Source organism: Homo sapiens, chromosome 2 (assembly GCF_000001405.40).
Source record: "Homo sapiens chromosome 2, GRCh38.p14 Primary Assembly".
NCBI classification, from domain to species: Eukaryota; Metazoa; Chordata; class Mammalia; order Primates; family Hominidae; genus Homo; species Homo sapiens.
In genome coordinates, this window is record NC_000002.12 from 178,662,061 (window position 1) to 178,677,152 (window position 15,092).

The 15,092-nt window shown below is 34.3% G+C and overlaps 1 protein-coding gene and 1 long non-coding RNA gene across 22 annotated transcripts in view; one reads left to right on the forward strand and one right to left on the reverse strand.

Annotated features, from left to right (window-relative positions):
* The window catches only part of TTN (titin), a 281,435-nt gene that overhangs the window by 136,072 nt on the left and 130,271 nt on the right, over positions 1 to 15,092 (reverse strand). For 4 of the 21 annotated variants that reach the window (NM_133378.4, XM_017004821.1, NM_001256850.1 and 1 more), the window contains 10 exons: positions 13,861 to 13,935; positions 12,979 to 13,053; positions 12,254 to 12,349; positions 11,573 to 11,650; positions 10,575 to 10,643; positions 10,347 to 10,421; positions 9,911 to 10,207; positions 9,030 to 9,110; positions 8,158 to 8,235; positions 906 to 995 (listed from right to left, as the gene is read on the reverse strand). The exons of 5 other annotated variants lie outside the window; for them this stretch is intronic. In NM_133378.4, the coding sequence (NP_596869.4) occupies positions 906 to 995; positions 8,158 to 8,235; positions 9,030 to 9,110; positions 9,911 to 10,207; positions 10,347 to 10,421; positions 10,575 to 10,643; positions 11,573 to 11,650; positions 12,254 to 12,349; positions 12,979 to 13,053; positions 13,861 to 13,935 (1,014 nt within the window). Of the gene's footprint in view, positions 1 to 81; positions 163 to 277; positions 359 to 472; positions 557 to 668; positions 753 to 905; positions 996 to 1,205; positions 1,290 to 1,372; positions 1,457 to 1,499; positions 1,655 to 1,758; positions 1,843 to 1,954; positions 2,039 to 2,399; positions 2,478 to 2,593; positions 2,678 to 2,791; positions 2,867 to 3,316; positions 3,401 to 3,647; positions 3,732 to 4,763; positions 4,842 to 5,175; positions 5,260 to 5,381; positions 5,466 to 5,577; positions 5,662 to 7,312; positions 7,388 to 7,531; positions 7,616 to 8,157; positions 8,236 to 9,029; positions 9,111 to 9,910; positions 10,208 to 10,346; positions 10,422 to 10,574; positions 10,644 to 11,572; positions 11,651 to 12,253; positions 12,350 to 12,978; positions 13,054 to 13,610; positions 13,695 to 13,860; positions 13,936 to 15,092 lie in introns of those variants that run through there. 12 more of the 21 variants (XM_024453098.1, XM_024453097.1, XM_017004822.1 and 9 more) reach the window with 9 other exon arrangements.
* The window catches only part of LOC124906100 (uncharacterized), a 71,929-nt gene that overhangs the window by 19,744 nt on the left and 37,093 nt on the right, over positions 1 to 15,092 (forward strand). The gene's annotated exons all lie outside the window — the stretch shown is intronic.

The following is a 15,092-nucleotide window of genomic DNA, read 5'->3' on the forward strand; positions in this document are numbered from 1 at the left end:
TAATGAGACAAATGGAGTAAAATATTTCTAAGATCAGAAGAGATATTTCTTCTGCAGAAAAAGGACAGGGGTAAAAAATACCTGTGGCAGGTGGGGCTTCTGGTTTTGTGGGAGGAGCCTTAGGAACTTTCTTTTCTGGGACAACTTCTTGAGCTTCAGGCACTTGAAAGATATTAGTAGTTTTAGACTTAAGTTAATGAAGAGAAATGGGCTAAAATTGTTTACAGTAGGAGAGGAGATATCTCTTCTGCAGAATGAAGTCAGGGCTAAAGTGTACCTGGGACAATTGGAGCTTCTGGTTTTTTGGGTGGAGCCACGGGAATTTCTTTTTCTGTGGCTTCTTGAGGAACTTCTGGCACTTGAAAGATATTAGTAGTTTTATACTTAGGTTAATGAAGAGGAATGGACTAAAATTGTTTTCAGGAATGGAAGAGAGATTTCTTCTGCAGGATAAGGTTGAGCTGACATGTACCTGTAACTGCGGGGGCTTCTGGTTTTTTGATTGGTGCCTTGGGAATTTTCTTTTCTGGGACAACTTCTTGAGCAGCTTCAGGCACTTGAAAGATATTAGTATTTTTATAATTTATGAATGGTGAAGGTATATATTACAGTGATTGTGAGGGGTACAGACGATAAGTTTTTCTTAGCAGAGGAGAGGGAATAAATACCTTTTGCACGTGGGGCTTCCGGTTTTTTGGGCACAGCCACAGATGCTTTCTTTTCAAGTACAACTTCTTTAGGAGCTTCAGGAACTTTGAAGATATTAGTATCTTTTAGTTAGAAGCTATAAAGGGGGAATATCGACTCCACATTTACCCAAGCAAATACAACTTGTGAGATCGGCGGACACTTCTATGCAGTCTTTCCCCAGGGCCCCCCGACTGACAATGTGTAATGATACCTACCTTTAGGAGGTGGAGCTTCTGGCTTTTTGGCAGGAGGCACCGGTACTTTCTTTTCTGGGACCACTTCCTTCGGTGGCAGCACTTCAGGCACTTCAAAGATATTTGTAATTTGTGTTTAGAAAAGGTGAAAATGATGGATGCCTTTTGCATATAAACACCCACCAAGATATTTTGGATAGCGATTGACATTTGTTTTCTTTAGAATTATATCATCTTTATGTAGTAGGATTTTTAACATGTAATTTCCTAGTTAAAATAACAGTTATTTTTCTCCTATAGTTTGTATAGCTTTGGCATTACCTTCAGGGGGAGGACTTTCCGGTTTGGGAGGAATAGCTTCAGGCAACTTCTTTTCTGGGACAGCTGCCTTTGGCACCTCTGGGACTTTAAAGATATTAGTATTTTCATTATTAGACAAAGTAAAGACAAACAAACAATATCAAACACAGCAACAAGAGGGTGTCTACCTTTTGTGGGTGGCACTTCAGGCTTTTTAGGAGGAGGCACTGGCACTTTCTTTTCAGGAACAACTTCTTTGGGAGCCTCAGGCACTTGAAAGATATTAGTGAAATTACATTTAGGCATTATGAAGACCACTAGAAAAATATTTTCCAGAGCAGAAGAGATACATCATCTGAAGCCTAAAATCAGTGACAAATACCTTTAACAGGTGGGACTTCAGGCTCTTTAGGAGGAGCCACTGGCGCTTTCTTTTCAGGAACTACTTCTTTGGGAGGCTCTGGTACTTAAAAGATATTAGCAAAATTACATTCAGAAGTTATGAAGACCACTGGAAAAAATATCTTCAAGAGCAAAAGAATGAGATCTGAAGCCTAAGGTCAGTGGCAACTACCTTTAACAGGTGGGACTTCAGGCTCTTTAGGAGGAGCCAAGGGCACTTTCTCTTCGCGGATAACCTCTTTGGAAGCTTCTGGCACTTGAAAGATATTAGTGAAATTACATTTAGGTGTTATGAAGACCGCTAGAAAAAAATATTGTCAAGAGCAGAAGAATTAGGTCTTCTGAAGCCTAAAGTCAGTGACAAATACCTTTAACAGGTGGGACTTCAGGCTTTTTAGGAGGCACCACCGACACTTTCTTTTCAGGGATAATCTCTTTGGGAGCTTCGTGCACTTGAAAGATATTAGTATTTTTACACTCAGAAAATACAGAGATTACTAGATAGATACAAAGACATTTTCAAGAACAAAAGAGCTATTTTTTTCTCCTGAGCTGAGATCAGTGGTAACAAGTTCCCATAATAGGTGGTGTTTCAGGTTTTAGAGGAGGAACTTCCGGTATTTTCTTTTTGGTAGCCATTTCTTTGGGAGCTTCAGGCAGTTTGAAGATATTAATACATTTACACTTGAGTTGCAAGAGTCAACACAGACATGATTCACATGTACACATCAAAATAATTTTCAAAACTAGAAAGGTGGTCCTTTCTATCGCCCCACCCACTATCCCACCATAAAAAGACAGTTAAGAATGTACCTTTGACAGGTACAACTTCAGCCCTTTGGGGAGGATGCACTTTCTTTTCCGGGACAACTTCTCTGAGAGCCTCCGGCACTTTGAAGATATTAATAATTTTACATTTAGAAGTTACAAGAATCAACACAATCAGGAAAAACATTTATACAAGAAAAGACATGTTCCCACCCCTCTAAGCTTCCAGCAAGATATACCTTCATCAGGAAGGACTTCAGGCTTTCTGAGAGGAACCACAAGCGTTTTCTTTTCAGGGACAATTTCTTGGAGAGCTTCAGGCACTTTAAGAAATTAGTAGTTTTATGTTTAGTGTTATGCAGATAACTAGGAATAGCAAAAATATTCTCAAAACTACAAGAGCTAGTTCTTGACCCTGAGAGCATGGTGACTTGTACCTTTAACTGATGGGGGTTCTCTTTTTTTGGAAGGAACTGTCTTGGCAGGAATAATTTCTTGAGGAGCTTCGGGCGCTTGAAAGATATTAGCAATTCACATTTAAGAGTTAAAATGATTAATGGAAAACAGTAACCACAATAAGTTAGGAAATATAACCACATTTTCTTCTCTTTCCTCCATCCTCCCTTTGTTCCACCAATAGGCTAAGTCTTTTAAGGGGTTAGTGGATCCTTGAGAGGAGGTGCTCCCCCTCCTCCAGAACCTCACAGAGCTCTCGCGACACTCTACACTCTCATTATAAAGGATTTGTTGAATGAATACTTCCAGCAGGAGTGTTTTCTGTTTTGGCAGAAACAGCCATAAATAATTTCTTTTTAGAGGAAACTTCCTGTGGAACCTCAGACACTTAAAAGATATTAGTATGTTTATATTTAGAATTTATGAAGAGTATTAGGAAGAAACCATAGTTTTAAGAGCAGAGGACAGATAATTTCTTCTTCCACATTTGTTCAGAGGTAACGTACTTTTCATACGTGGAGTTTCTGGCTCTTCAGGTACATCCTCAAATATTTTCATTTCAGGGACAACTTCTTTCATAGCTTCTGGTGCTTTGAAGATATTAGTATTATGGTTAGAGGTTAAAAGGATCAGTGGAGACATTAATTAAATGAGCTGAACCAAAGTGATATTTATGGCTAAAAAGATGATTCCTTTAAAGAATCTGAGGAGGTATACAATCTTGAGGAGAGGAACCACATATTAATTGTCTTTGTTTATTATTCTCCAGTTCCCTAGCACCCTGTACATGCTAAGCACTCTAATAAATGAAGGAAGGAATGGCAGGATGAACGATACCTTTAGTGGGAGGTATTTCAATTTCAAGGGGAGCAGCCATGGGTGTTTCCTTTACAGGGACAATTTCTCGAGGTGATTCAGGCACTTTAAAGATATGAATGCATTGTACTTTGGAGTTATGAAGAGGAGTAAAGAGTTCCCATCTTAACTGCACATACAGAACATTCCAGATGGGAACCTTCTCCCACTCCCCGCCCCCAGAATCGGATCTTTTGTAGCAGTGTGAGTATTTGGTTATAAGCGGCTGTTTTCTTGGTCACCTCAGGCACTATCAGTATTAGTAATTTTATTTCTTGGAATGGTAGATGCATAGAAAACTAGATCATGGAAAGTGGAAACATTGATTATAATTAATGCTATACCTCTAGCTATTATGTTGAGAAAAACAAATTACAGCCACTTCGAAAAATCTAGGTCGGCATTTTTTTGTATTCACACCTCAGGCACCTTAAAAAGGTGAGTGTTTTTCAAGTTTAGGAGAGAGGAGAACAACCAAAAGATTCCAGACTGAGAAAAAATATCAAAATATTCAGATATTCTTCAAATTACAGAATACCATGGGTGTTATGATGAAATTATTGTTCTGGAGGTTTTAAAGCTTTTTCATGTTTTGACTTATCTAAAGATATTCAAAATGAAAAAAAATGATGCTTGAAAAATAAAAGATAGGCTATGAGAGGAGCAAATGAACATGGAGGGGAGATTTCCAGCTTTAACTGGAATTATTTTTCCCTAGGTTGGAGGATATTCTGGGAGGGTCTCAGGTGCTCTAATCTTGTAGAGATATTACAGATCAGCTTCACACTGAATTAATATTTTCTTTAAGACATGTTTTGATCATAATATGTGTATATATATTTTCTTTGGAGTCCTCATAAAAATACACTGACTCAACTATCTTTCATGTGTATAAGCTAAAGGTATTTTTTCCCTCTGTTGTCTCTTGAGTGACTCACTGGGACATGAATACATTTGGTTGAGCTTCTACTTGGGGGATCCATCTCTGAAATGATTTCCACTGTAGCCACTTTGGCTTAAAAGATATTAGTATTTTTACATGTGTTAAGTACAACTGCAAACATGAGATTAAAAAGGTGACTTTCTTCCAACTTGTACCTGTTGGTGATGGTGTTTTTCTTCTTTTAACAATAGGAGTTTCTCCCTCTGGAATGACTTCCTTGAAGACTTCAAACTCTTTAAAGATATTAGTATTTTTTTTAATTGAGAAAAGGCAAAGGCATAAAGACATGACATACTAAGAAAGTTAGATATGTTAATATCATTTCAGATATCTTTATGTTAGAAATGTTATTTTTGTTCTAATATTTTATCTTTGTATATTATATGTGTGGGACTTGACTTTCTTGGGGGCAAGTCATAGGTCATTCTTTGTTGTGGGTATATCAGATCCTTTAAACACAGTATTTTAACATTAGAGGTTGTGAGAATGTATATTAAACATTAAATATTTTGCAGACTGAAGACAGTATATTTTCTTCTTTAGATTTTCCTAACTAGAGAATTATACCTTCAGTTGGAGGATGTTCTGGAATTTCAGGAATAGCCTCAGGTGGCTCCACCTCTGGAAAAATGCCTCTGGTTGTATCAGGTTCTTTAAAGATATTAGTAGGTTTACATTTAAAAGTTGTAAAAACAGTAAATTATAAAAAGCATGCAATGTTTGAGTCATAAAGCTAAAGATACTCATCTGGGTTTGATGTATTTGAAATATACCTTTAGTTGCTGGTGTTTCTCTCTTTTTAGGAATAGTCACATATATTTTGTCTTCTGGAACAACTTTCTTGGGTGGCTCAGGCACTTAAAAGATATGAGTATAGTTATATTTATAAATGGTGAAGAAAAATATTGAGCTTTTTAAAAGGGGCCAAAAAATAATTTTTCTTCAGAGTGGATCATTGGTGTTATATACCTTTTGCTAGTTTGGGTTTTGTCTTTTGAGGTTGAGTCACAAGTACTTTTTCTTCTAGGACTGCTTCTTCAGATGCTTCATAAACTTTAAAGATATTAGTATTTAAATAATTAGGATGTTTCAAGGTGGATAAAGAAGTGTATTAAGAAAAATATAATATATAATACCACATTCATCACCAAAATTAATAGTAGCACATAGAGGCAAATTAGTGGCTAGAATGCATTGGCTGGGGATAGCCTCACTCCCAGTTTCATGATGTAAGACTCTAAGCATTTCTCTATGATGATGATAATAAAATGGAGGAATTGTTCAGGCAAGGACTATATAATTCTTCATTTTGCCTTAAGAAAGTTATTGGTAAAATTGTCCTATTGGTCTTATTTTTAATGGATTTGTCTATAAAGAACAGGGAAGATGCTGAATTGCACATTGAGAATTCTCCGATATTTGACCTACTAGAAATTCATGTAAGTCTTTTCCCTTTCTAGAAGCCTCATTATCTATATTTTCAAATCACATCTAATATATGGTTTCACAGTTTAATATGAATGTAAAAGCCATTTAGGGTTTGGAGGCAGAAAATTAAAAAAATTAAATACTTAGAAAATAAGGCAAATAAAGACAACAAAAATTTCTCCAGCCTTTAGAAAGAAAAACTGTCTGAAAACAATAACTAAAGTCAAGAATAGAAAGGATATTCAAAGGAGGAAGTGATTATATTATTTTATCCCAACTTAGTATAACAGGATGAACAACAAGAAAGTTGAGTTTCAACAGGAAATTTTTTAGATTAAAAAAAATGGAAGCGGGTCTGGTGTAGTGGCTCATGCCTGTAATCCCAGCACTTTGGGAGGCTGAGGTGGGCGGGTCACCTGAGGTCAGGAGTTTGAGACCAGCCTGACCAACATGGTAAAACCCTGTCTCTACTAAAAATACACAAAATTAGCCGGGCCTGGTGGTAGGCACCTGTAATCCCAGCCACTCGGGAGGCTGGGGCAGGAGAATAGCTTGAACCCAGGAGACGGAGGTTGCAGTGAGCCAAGATCGTGCCACTGCACTGCAGCCTGGGTGCAGCAGAGTGAGATTCCATCTCAAAAAAAAAAAAAAAAGGAAGAATATTTTGACTACTGTCACTTTTACTATTCAGGTTGTTGAACAGTATTCTATTCACAATATTTTACTATTTGGATTATTTCATAATTCAAATTATTTAAACCTAATTTTGTATGAAACCCCCCCCCAAAAAAAAAGGTCGTGAGAATTCTTTTGAGGTTTGAGTGGCCTTGTAAACCTAGGGTCCTTTGAGCAGTTTTGCCAAAATGTTTCCAATTATGGTTATCAAGAGTAAAAAAAAAAATAATGGTGAAACATTTTGATTTTATAAAATCCAATTAAAATATTATGGAGTTAAGTTACTTCATGATCTGAGAAAATAAATTGCTTCAAAGCAAAAGACACTTGTATACAGAATAGGTTAGGAAAATTTAACAAGACAACTGACTTTTCTGAAATCATACACTCTGATAAGTAGAGTATTTCTTTTTTAAATTGGTGAGGAAATATAACTTGTCTGAGGATAATAGACACTAAGATTATTTGAGTCATATATTTGTGGCATGTTAGGCTTTTATAAGAGTTTAGTATATTTACTTTTCAAAGCTAAAAAGACAAACATAGTGAATTTAAGGACATAAATGAAACGAAAAAGAACCACTAATTTTTCTACACTCACTGTACATCTCTGTGTCTTCAGAAATAACAATAGGTGATTTTTCTTCTTGAACACTTTTCTTAGGCATCCCAGGAACTTTAAAGATATTAGTATATTAATTGTTACAGATAACAAATATAAGATACGAAATACAAGGATTTAATGTCACACACATTCACTTTAAACCATGAAAAACTAAACCAAGAATTATTTCATGTTCTGATTAGCATCACTGTATACCTTTAGCTGGTGGAACTTCAGGCTTTTTCAGAACAGCTTCACGAACTTTTTCTTCTGGGACAATTTTCTTGGGTACTTCGGGTGCTTTAAAGATATTTATTTATCTTATTTTTTCAGAACATTATAGTTGGGTGTAAACATAGCAAGCCTAGAAGGGGCATCTAACAAGATGAACGCCAAAAACCCCTCAATTATAAGTCAACTATAAGTCAAATGTAGTCATTGCATTTCTCTGAATTGCTTTGTCGATGAGTTCTTGATTCATTATATCAGAAACACTTTGCTCTTTGGAGATAGTATCATTTTCTATTGCCATTTAGAGCACACTTTTTTTTTTCCAGAGCTACTTCAGAAGAGCTTCCAAAATGAATTATTTTTGAAAGAGAAGTTGAGGGATCAATATTATTTAGTTATTAAATAAGAGGATCAATACAAATGATAACTTTGGGCTTATGTCTTTACGCCTAAAACATTGCCTCAAAAGGCAGGATTATGTTATAGAACATAAATTGAAGTTTATGTCATTCATAGCCATCTTGTGGCATTGAGAAGAGAAAGGTCTCTCTTACATAGTAAGTGAATAAAAAAGGATTTTATATTAATGATGAATGAGAAAAGCCAGTTACCTTTAGTTGGTGGAACTCTGGGCTCTTCAGGAACACGTACTTTTTCTTCTACCACAATTTTCTTAGGCACCTCCGGTACTTTAAAGATAATAGTAATAATTTCTTTTATTTTTAAATATACAATTTTTTAACAAGCAGAGCATGAGAGATATAAACACAGAACAGAACACAGCAACAATATAAAATGCAGACAACACTTTATCAAATACATTACAGTATTTCAAATGCATTGAATTTAAAAAATATATAATAACAAAAATCCAGGGAAATTTCCCATGTTAGAATGGTAAGAACTTGAGAAGAAAAATTAACAGTACACCTTCAGCTGGTGCTATTACTGTTTGTTTTTGTGGAAGAGTTGCTACCTTCTCTTCAGTGATAACTTACGCACATGCTTCAGAGACTTTAAAGAAATAAGTTTATATTATTTATTAGATACTGTTTTTATTTCTATTGTGAAATTTAAGAGATTTGCAAAAATGAACAAAGCAAGAACATTAAACACATATTCACTATGTATTTATATTTGCCAGGTTAATATAATTAATAATAAATAGAAAAACATGTGTTTATCAGTAAGCATGTTAGTGAATATATAACCAAATAGCACCAAAGGAGGAAATTTGGGCTCACTATTTGGTTACTAGAGATATTTGCTTTGGTTGTTTTAGGTATAACAACAGTGACTGTCTTTTTTTGGTAGAACTTCCCTTGGACCCTCAGCTGCTTTAAAGATATTAGTTTGTTTTAGACATGTCAGAAACAAGAAATACAGAAGAAAGACATCAAGTGGAATGCAAACTTGTGCTTATAAAGCAACCAAGGTGCTATTGTATGTAAAGTTAAGTAGTAATTTTTCACAAAGAAGATACCTTTAGCTGGTGGCTCTTTTCGAGGAACAACTTTAGTGGGCGGTTTTTTTGGAGGGATGATTTTCTCAGATATCTCAGGCCCTTCAAAGATATTAGTATTTTGGTTTAGAATGAACTCTTGAAGTATTTTGGAGCACTACTACTAACGTTAGTACAATGAGGGGTCACAAAATTCTTTATCTATATTTTTTTAATTTATAACACACTTATTTCCAAAAGAGATTTGATTTGCTAAATATCATGTATATTGTAATTTGCTATATATGCTAAACACACACACACACACATTCCTTCATATTACACATATATTGTTAATTTGTGCAAGATCTAGAGTGGTATTGCAGATAACTTATTTGTGCTATGGCTTGTCTTCACAGTATGCTAGAATACAGGTGCCATTAACAATACTTCACTTCCTTAATGTTGTTTCTCTAATGAAAGTATCATAAACTGGCAAAAGCTTTTGGTAAGTATTTCTCAGTTTGTGAACAGTTGACTAAAATGTTAAAGCAGTGATTATTTTGCCTGAACATGTAAATTCCTCAGTGAACTGAGGAGTTTCTTTTTCACTTAACCAATGACACTGGTCAGTTATTTTGGTACCTGTAACAATTGTGTAACATTCTTAGTCAGATTTAAAAAATAATCCCCAAATTCATACAGTGACCTCCTTAGATAAGTAGATATCAAATATTACTATCATCTACTAAAATTATACTCCGTGTGGTTAAGAGATATTAATCTTTGTGTCAACTAGTTTAAACTCATGTTTAAAGTATTTCATGGGGTTTCTAATCTTCCAAACTGAACACAAAATTTACTTTCAAAGGAAAGTTAGAGCAAGATATAAGAATTTGTAGTATTTGAAGAATTCCCTATACCTTTAGGTGGAGCTTTTGGTTTTTCAAATACTTCCACTTCTTCAGCCTCAAAAACTTCTATTACCCTATGAACTTTTTCAACTCTGTGTTCTTCTTCAACTCTATGTTGTTCTAATTTGATGAATTCTTCTACTTCATGAAACTCGCCTTCTTCAAAATATTCTTCAACTTCATGGAACTCTTCTTCTTCCGGAATTTCTTCCACTTCTGCTTCTACTACTTCTAATTCTAGTCTTTCTTTTACTACTACTTCTTGGCGGAAGGCAACTGATACTTTTTCTTCAAGGACAGTTCTCCCTGAAAGAGCATCTATTTTAAGACTTATTTTTTTAAACACTGAAGAAATAAAGATGTACATTCAAAATATATATTTTTAAAACTGAATAAAGGATTGCATGCAACAATACACGAAAATCCAGGATCTTTCCAAAAATACCTTTAGCTGGGGGAACAGCTTCCTTTTTAGGCACAAGGACTTTCTTTTCTGGGACTTTCTTTGGTACTTCAGGCACTTTAAAGATACAGTTTTAATATTTAGGACTGTCGAGAGCAAGCTTTCATAGACAAAAATCATCAAAAACAATCAAGACACAGAGACATGAAACATAAAAGTCTTAACGAAAAAAGACAGAAGAGGAAGTCAGGTTTAAAAGAGAAGATGTACCTTTGGCTGGGGGTGCCTCTTTTTTCTGAACAGGAACAGGTACTTTTTCCTCAGGAATTTTCTTTGACACTTTAAAGATATTAGGTGTTTTAGTTAGCTGAGAATGTTCAATAACACACATGAAATAAAAACACCAGAGACAACGCCAACATTACAATAATTAAAGTTTTTCAGAAGTCACTCTGTACTGTGGGACATCCATTTTAGAGGCAATAAAGATACTTTCTCAAATCACTCATTTGTTCTAACATTCCTATAGAAGAAGAAATGTCCACAAAGTACCTGTGCCATTCTTTTTTTTTTCTTTTAATAACAGGGATTACCAATATGGACTCACTTTTACTATTTTTAACTTGATGAAGACTTTTTTGAAGTGATTACCATTGTAGAGTATTTAAGCCCTGACACTGGCCTCACTTTCTGCTGTGCACTCTTCTATTAGCTGAGGAGTCTACTATGACAGGGACAGCATAATCTAACTGCTTAAGAGCACTGTCTGAAGCATTAAGTGAATTAGGAAGCAGGGAAAAGTAGACATTTTGTAATAACCTTGAATGCTTGGGCTAAACATTACAAAAGGGACGTGAGGCTCTTTAAAATAGTTATTATCCAAGCATTAGGTTTGTTCCATAAAATAATAAATATAGTAAAATAATTATTATAACACAGAAGAAAACTCCGTTCCACTTATGGAATAAAATCTAAAATGTGGGGAAGAGGGATCCATTGCTATGTGTATAAGTATATAGAGACATACTAATATATTAAAATTCTCAGTTAAGAAGCTTCTAGAATAATTCATACGTAAACACATGCACACAATTATTCGTTAACATCCTAGAAAAGATTAAAGAAATGGAATGAGTTATATTTTTACTGGTCCTTAATCAGTTCACTATCTAAATGATTATAAGAAGGCAGTCAAAAAAGAAAATGTTGCTTTTAAGAAAGAAAATTAATGGGAAGTTAAAGATATTAATAATGAGGATTTGATATACCTTTAGCTGGTGGTGCCTCCACTTTTTTAGGAACAGGAGTAGGTGCTTCAGGTACTGCTTTCTTAATCACTTCAGGCACTTAAAAGAAATTTTATGAACATTTTGAAAAGTGGCATGTGATGAGCAGAACACCACCCATATACCAATAAATAAATATCACAAAACATTGACTTATTTTTAAAAGATATTAGCAACCTAAATGGTAATAATAAATGTGGAGTAGGAACCCTAGAGGTGTAAAGGATATTACTTAGAAATCCTATAAGCAAATGTAATACCAATTATGCAAAATATTATCACACTCTTCAGGAATAGTAAATTAAAGATTTTTCTTAAAAAATGAACACTTTCACCAGAGAAATAGATTCCCCCCATATTAATATTAAAAACAAAATTAAGGATTGAAATCTAGGAGAAACTATTATAGTAGGGCCTGGTCAGAAAAAAATTCAATCGCCAATAACAAAATAGTAATCTCTCATTCTTAGTTGTATTGCAGATGTTGTAGAAAAATTTAGGGTAAAAAAAGGACACATAGATTCAGGTGCCAGGAATAATTAATCTTCACTTTATCATGGATACGATATAAGAAAAGCATACTGGTGAATCTTAGATTTAGCTACTGAGAAAGATTTGGAACACCAGGAATTTTAAATGTTCAATCCTTAAAAGCGGTTATACCTCTAGGTGGTGCCACCTCTTCAACTTCCTCTATGCTAGGTGGTTCTTCTGGGATTTCTTCTTCTGAAATAGGCTCTTCTTCAGGCTCCTCAGTCACTTTAAAAAGATTATTATTTTGTAAATTATTTTTATAATTATTTTGAATATTAGACTACAGTGATAATATCTGAAAACTGCTCAGCCTTCGAAACGCTTGTGTAAACTCACTAGTCCTTAAAAAATCTCTACTGGGTCTTCAAAATATGTTAGGCATATCCCAGCATTTGTGAACTGGAAAGGACTTCAGATAATTTATAATAATAAAAAAATTATTATTGTTTTTTTTTTAATGAAAGACTTGTTTGAAGTCAAACAGCCACTTGGGGTAGAAATCAGATTTTCTGCACCAGTTACTCAGGCTTAACTGGAATTTCTCTTGGATAAGCTTATTTTACAGTTGCCTACTAAGTCATTTGATGAAAAATTTCCCACAGCAAATACAGTTTCCCTTCATGAATTCTAATTAAAATAAAACAAATAGCAAACAGACAAACAGGCTGAACATGCAAAGAGATTCAAATAATATTAATTTGCCTGCCCAATTTCTATTAGGTTAATAATAATTTATTTTAGAATCTGAATATGTTGATTTCCTGGGGTAAATTTTACATTTACCTACTTCAAATATTAGACAATAATAAGACAAGGATGACTTTGAAATGTTATTTTCTTAGAAAGTTATCTACCTTCAACTGGTAGAACTTCCTCTTCTTTAGGGAGAATGATTCGTTTTTCTTCCACCTTCTTAGGCACCTCAGGAACTTGAGAGACATTGATTATTTTAGACACTTAAAATGCAAGAACCAAAGAAGAATAAAGACCACGTTTCCAGTTTCCAACATAAGAGAGTAAATATCACAAGGCACATACACAAGATGAAACATTGACATTTCACAGAATCGGTTAATGAGAAAAGAATAAAAAGGTTTGTGGTTTAAGATTTAGGGTTTATTAAAGAGAAATTCTACTTTTTACTGCTGGAGCCTCTATTTCTTTTTTCTTTTGTCTTTTTTTTTTTTGTAGGAAGAAATGGGTATGAAGAAATGGGTATTTCAGGGACTAGTTCCTTAGTTATTTTTGGCTCTTTAAAGATATATTTTTATTTTTTAGAAACAACATACATAGAGAAACGATGTAAAGCACACCAACACCAAGTGAAAAAATGGACACAACACAAACTTGGGTGCAAAAGAGTCAGAAATGACGAATGTGAATGACAGACCATACAATGCACACATTTATGTTGAGTGTCCTGTGTGGATAGAACCACAGTTCAACATCGGTGCAGCAAACATATCCCTGTTATGGGATGATGTACCTTTGGCAGGAGGGGCCACTGCTTTCTTAAGACCAGGAGGAGGGACCTTCTTTTCTGGCTCAGGTTTCTTAGGTACCACAGACACTTTAAAAATATTATTTTATTTTATAAGTTCAGTTTCACACACACAAAGACAAGTAGACACAGCAGTAATATAAGTTGTATTAACAAATACGGAAACAGGACATTTTGACTTTTATAGGAGAAGGAAGGAAATGGCATAGTCTAATTTACTTCGGAATAGCAATACCTTTGGCAGGGGGAGCCTCCTCTTTCTTGGGAATGACCACTTTCTTCTCTGTCACTTTCTTCTTAATTTCAGGCACTTTAAAGACATCATTTCATGATAAGGATTTATTTTGAAGGACAAAAAAAGAGAAACCAAGAAGACCCCACACCCAGAAAGACCAATGTGTTAACAGTCGCTCAAGACAGGTCTGTCATGTTAGTTGGGAGCCCAGATATTATAATGTAATTGGGATTTGTAAAGCAAGGGACCAGCAGCATATGTCATTATCAGAGGACAGATGCTATTAGGGTGGTGCAAAAATAATTGCGGTTTTGACATTACTTTTAATGCTAAAAACCGCAATTACTTTTGCACCAACCTAATATCATTTCATACATTTAAATTTCACTAGTAATTTATTGTCTAGAAAGTATTTCTGAATCGTTGATATCCAATAAAAGATCAGCTTTACTATTTCATTTGATTATATAACTATATGGCCTGATGCGAGGGTTATGCTGATTTTAAGCAGCCATGCCAGCATCTTTTGTAGAAAATATTATTGAGCTTTAAAGCACAAATATATTAATTCTGTCCTGTACTATGAGCTGATTGAATATGTTAAATCTGGATACTATTCATTCAATGATAGACTACTTTAATACCTTACTTTATTTAATTCTCACCATAATAGCTGAGCCCATTAAGACTGATATTAGCATCCCCAATTTACAGGAAAATAACTTCAGGCTCAGGTTGGTTAAAGGACTCGCTGAGAGTAATACAACAAGGTGTAAAGTCAACGCTAAAATCAAAACCTGTTGGGCTGCCCTTTATATATATGTATTAGAAGACATAACTATTATTCTGTGTTTTGATAAATACATTCATCTTTTTTTCTTTTTAGCCTGGTGTTAAAAAGGCATTTAATATAAATGGTTGAAGGAAGAAATTTAAGAATATTTATTCATAATAGTTTTCAATACATTTAAATATATAGTATACTTATTCATATATATTTAAATATATCTCCATGAAAACTATGATGTTTAATCAAATGATATGAAATCAGAACTTTTGTATCAGTTCTGGGACAATGCTTCCTTTCATCTTTGTTCTTGAATACTGCTTTGTATCAGTGAAAAAAGTAGATATCAGTGTTCCTGAACATCGTTAGAAGTAAATATGTAACTGTGTGATTATCCATTTTGTAAATATAATTTTCCTAAAACCCAGTTTCATCATAATTTATG